The sequence below is a fragment of the Homo sapiens genome, chromosome 12 (assembly GCF_000001405.40).
Source record: "Homo sapiens chromosome 12, GRCh38.p14 Primary Assembly".
In the NCBI taxonomy this organism is placed as follows: Eukaryota; Metazoa; Chordata; class Mammalia; order Primates; family Hominidae; genus Homo; species Homo sapiens.
Genome location: NC_000012.12, coordinates 123,379,356 through 123,384,131, shown reverse-complemented (window position 1 = coordinate 123,384,131; position 4,776 = coordinate 123,379,356). Strand labels below are relative to the sequence as shown.

General features: G+C 51.6%; 3 annotated features.

Moving 5' to 3' along the window:
- Positions 112 to 842: an enhancer, noted in NCBI's record as "H3K27ac-H3K4me1 hESC enhancer chr12:123867837-123868567 (GRCh37/hg19 assembly coordinates)". NCBI's record gives its function as "activates a minimal SCP1, AML or CMV promoter by ChIP-STARR-seq in naive and primed H9 embryonic stem cells {active_cell/tissue: H9 hESC(naive and primed)}" and the evidence as "EXISTENCE:reporter gene assay evidence [ECO:0000049][PMID:30033119]".
- Positions 370 to 589: an enhancer, noted in NCBI's record as "active region_7261". NCBI's record gives its function as "activates an Ori minimal core promoter by ATAC-STARR-seq in GM12878 lymphoblastoid cells {active_cell/tissue: GM12878}" and the evidence as "EXISTENCE:reporter gene assay evidence [ECO:0000049][PMID:35858748]".
- Positions 807 to 1,029: a silencer, noted in NCBI's record as "fragment chr12:123867650-123867872 (GRCh37/hg19 assembly coordinates)". NCBI's record gives its function as "represses an EF-1alpha promoter that drives an FKBP-Casp9 reporter gene in an ReSE screen in K562 erythroleukemia cells {active_cell/tissue: K562}" and the evidence as "EXISTENCE:reporter gene assay evidence [ECO:0000049][PMID:32094911]".

Here is a 4,776-nt window from a genome sequence, read left to right as displayed (position 1 = left end):
AGCCAACTGCTCCGCCGGGCTCCAGCTGCTCGCCCCGATTGGCGCCGCCTCCCGCCTCTCCGCAGGCTGCCCGTAGTGATAGGCCAACTCGGAGAAAGGCCCCGCCCTTCTCCCGCCTCTTCGGCGGCGGGGCGTGTCCAGCCGCCGCAATAACTGCAAACGCTTTCCCGACAGGTCCCGGCGGAGGAGGTGGGAGGGGTGTTTAAATTTGACCGTCGCCAGACGTTGAATGGCTGCGATGGAAGACACCCGAGCTGCCATTGGGAGGCCCCAGATTCCTCCCCCTCCCGCTGCTGAAGCTCCGCCTCCGGAGCGTGAGTAGCCCGGCTGGAGCCCTGGGCTCCGAGCCGACCGGATCTGGGACTTCCGGTTCTCTGTGGGCTTGACCGGAACCCGACCTTTGACCCCTCGATCTTCCCTTAAGAGCTGGGAAACCTGAGTCTCCCAGCAGTTTAGCAACTCCAGCACACCGACCTCTCCAGCAGTTTGATCCATTCATTCTCAGGTTTGAAAGGTTTTGGCCGGGCGCGGTGGCTCATGCCTGTAATCCCAGCACTTTGGGAGGCTGAGGCGGGCGGATCACCTGAGGTCCGTGGTTCGAGACCAGCCTGACCAATATAGAGAAACCCAGTCTCTACTAAAAATACAAAATTAGCCGGGCGTGGTATCGCATGCATGTAATCCCAGCTACTCGGGAGGCTGAGGCCGGAGAATAGCATGTAATCCCAGCTACTCGGGAGGCAGAGGTTACGGTGAGCCGAGATCGCGCCATTGCACTCCAGCCTGGGCAACAAGAGCGAAACACTGTCTCAAAAAAAAAAAAAAAAAAAAAGGTTTATTGAATATTCCAGTATTCAAAACCCGGCCGGGCGCGGTGGCTCACGCCTGTAATCTCAGCACTTTGGGAGGCCGAGGCGGGTGGATTACGAGGTCAGGAGATCGAGACCATCCTGGCTAACACGGTGAAACCCCGTCTCTACTAAAAATACAAAAAAAATGAGCCGGGCGTGGTGGCGGGCGCCTGTAGTCCCAGCTACCTGGGAGGCCGAGGCAGGACAATGGCGTGAACCCGGGAGACAGAGCTTGCAGTGAGCCGAGATCACGCCGCTGCACTCCAGCCTGGGCGACAGAACGAGACTCCGTCTCAAAAAAAGAAAAAAAAAAAAACCCACAGACACAACTCCTACCAACTAACTGGGTCAGTAGGGAAGGTCCTTCCAGGACCGCAAAGATCCTAATGCTTCACACCCACCCATTTTACAGATGGGGCAATAGAGGAAGCGGGTCACTTACGCGCTGCCCAAGGTCACCCAGCAATGTAATTGCAGGGCCTGGGTCAGTCTCTCCACTGTTCAAACACTAAATGGCTACCTTATCCCGAGGGAAGCAAGTATTCGCTGTTCCCCTCTGAGAGAGGGGGCTCAGTCAGTATGTTCCCAGAGAATCAGGTGTCCTGGAGTGTCTGCTTTGGACTCAGGGAAGGCGTCCAGTTACTACTGCTCTTCCCTGGGGCCCCTCCCAGGGGTGTGGGACGAGGTCACTAATCCATCCTGTCTCTTTGGTAATTGAAAAGGTTTTGGAGACCCAACCATTGCCCAAAGACTCTTCCAAAGCACCAGGAAAATAGGAAAGGAAAATAAAATGATATATGTGAAAGCACTGGGAAAGGTAGAAAAGGACACTTTTGTCACAAAGTCACTGTGTCACTTGGCACATCAGTTCAGCTCTCTGGCCTTCCATTTCCCTACCTGTCAAATGAAGGAGCTGGTGCCGTAATCTCCAACATGCCTTACAGCTTCCATAAATATGTGGAAGTGTGGCAGTGTGCAGTGGCTCTCACCTGTAATCCCAGCACTCTGGGAGGCCGAGGCAGGTGGATCACGAGGTCAGGAATTCAAGACCAGCCTGACCAACATGGTGAAAACCCCGTTTCTACTAAAAATACAAAAATTAGCCAGGCGTGGTGGTGCGTGCCTGTAATCTCACTACTCAGGAGGCTGAGGCGGAGAAGTGCTTGAACCCGGGAGGCAGAGGTTGCAGTGAGCCAAGATCGTCCCACTGCAATCCAGCCTGGGCACCAGAGCGAGACTCTGTCTCAAAACAAACAAACAAACAAACAAAAAATATATATAGAGAGAGAGGTGTTTGCTTTCTCCAAAATTGATTATTTCAACATTTATTGAGCTCTATGCCTGCCGCTGTTTTGGATCCCCCAAGGATCCGAAGGGAAAGTAGACACAGCTCCTTCCCTGCATTCTTTTAGGGAAGAAACAAGGCATTATTTAAAAGATAATTTTAAGGCTGGGTGTGGTGACTCACACCTGTAATCCCAGCACTTTGGGAGGCTGAGGTGGGCGGATCACCAGGTCAGAAGATCGAGACCATCCTGGCTAACACGGTGAAACCCCATCTCTACTAAAAATACAAAAAAAAAAAAATTAGCCGGGCGTGGTGGCAGGCACCTGGAGTCCCAGCTACTCGGGAGGCTGAGGCAGAGCTTGCAGTGAGCCGAGATCACGCCACTGCACTCCAGCCTAGGCGACAAAGAGAGACTCCATCTCAAAAAAAAAAAAAGAGAAAAAAGAAAAAAAAGATCATTTTGTTTATTTATTTTTATTTTTCTTGAGACGGAGTCTCTCTCTGTCTCCCTAGGCTGGAGTGCAGTGGTTTGATCTCGGCTCACTGCAACATCTGCCTCCTGGGCTCAAGCAATTCTCCTGCCTCAGCATTCTGAGTAGCTGGAATTATAGGCGCCCACTACCATGGCTGGCTAATTTTTGTATTTTTAGTAGAGATGGGGTTTCACCATGTTGGCCAGGCTGGATTCGAACTCCTAACCTCAATTGATATGACGGCCTCAGCCTCCCAAAGTGCTGGGATTACAGGCGTGACCCACTGCGCTCAGCCCAATTTTTGTATTTTTAATAGAGATAGTGTTTCTCCATGTTGGCCAGTCTGGTCTCAAACTCCTGGCATCATGTGATCCAGCTGCCTCAGCCTTCCAAAGTGCTAGGATTACAGGCATGAGCCCACCACCCCTAGCCTAAAAGATTATTTTTATTTTATTTATTTTTTAAGACAGGGTCGCATTCTGTCATCCAGGCTAGAGTGCAGGGGCACGTTCTCGACTCACTGCAACCTCCACCTCCTGGGCTCAAGCAATTCTCCTGCCTCAGCCTCCCAAGTAGTTGGGATTACAAGAGTGTGCCATCATGCCCACCTATTTTTTTTTTTTTGAGACGGAGTCTCGCTCTGTCACCCAGGCTGGAGTGCAATGGCGTGATCTCGGCTCACTGCAACCTCTGCCTCCTAGGTTCAAGCAATTCTCCTGCCTCAGCCTCCCGAGTAGCTGGGATTATAGGCATGCGCCAAAACACCCAGCTATTTCTTTTTTGTATTTTTAGTAGAGACGGGGTTCCACCATGCTCCCCAGGCTAGTCTTGAACTCCTGGCCTCAAGTGATCCACCCGCCTCAGCCTCCCAAAGCGCTTGCCTTACAGGCGTGAGCCACCGCGCCCGGGCATATTTTTGTATTTTTGGTAGAGAAGGGGTTTCACCACGTTGGCCAGGCTGGTCTTGAATTCCTGACCTCAAATGATCTACCTGCCTTGGCCTCCCGAAGTGTTGGGACTACAGGCGTGAGCCACACGCCCATCCAAAAGATTATTTAATTTAATTAATTTATTTATTTTATTTATTTATTTTTTGAGACAGAGTTTCACTCTTGTTGCCCAGGCTGGAGTGCAATGGCACAATCTCGGCTCACCGCAACCTCCACCTCCCAGGTTCAAGCGATTCTCCTGCCTCAACCTCCCGAGTAGCTGGGATTACAGGCATGCGCCACGATACCCAGCTAATTTTGTATTTTTAGTAGAGACAAGGGTTTCTCCATGTTGGTCAGGCTGGTCTCAAACTCCTGACCTCAGGTGATGATCAGTCCACCTCGGCCTCCCAAAGTGCTGGGATTACAGGGGTGAGCCACCGCACCCGGCCTATTTATTTTTTGAGACAGAGTCTTGCTCTATCGCCCAAGCTGGAGTGAAGTGGCAGGATCTTGGCTCACCACAACCTCCGCCTCCCGGGTTCAAGCGATTCTCCTGCCTCAGCCTCCCAGATAGCTGGGATTACAGGCACCCGCCACCACACCCAGCTAATTTTTGTATTTTTAGTAGAGGTGGGGTTTTGCCATGTTGGCCAGGCTGGTCTCAAACTCCTGACCTCAAGTGATCTGCCCACCTTGGCCTTCCAAATTGCTAGGACTACAGGCATGAGCCACTGCTCCCAGCCCAAAAGATCATTATAAATAGTGATTAATGCTATAAGGAAAAAAGGCAGGCCAGGCCTGGTGGCTTATGCTTGTAATCCCAGCACTTTGGGAGTCCGTGGCAGGTGTATCGCTTGATCTCATAAGTTTGAGATCAGCCTGGGTAATATCCACATTTCTACCCTGTTCTGTGATACAGAGCAGCAAACCATAATTCCCCGTTCTCAGTTAATGTTAGGTTCTTCCAATGAGAGCAGATAGAAGCAGTCTGGGAGGCAGGAGGAAGAGAGGGGACTTGTTCTTGCCTGTTTGCTTACTATTCCTAGCATGTTCCCCTCAGTAATAACACTGCCTCTGGCAGTAGTATTTGGTTCAGTCTCCAGGTTCTTTGTACACTCCCAGAGACAGCCTCCTTGTGCTCCCGCGGAGGCACCAACAGCAGACCCCTCCTCAGAGTTTTGAGTCCCAACTACACAGGGCTCTGGGAGGCCCAGCACCAATCTGGTTGTGCC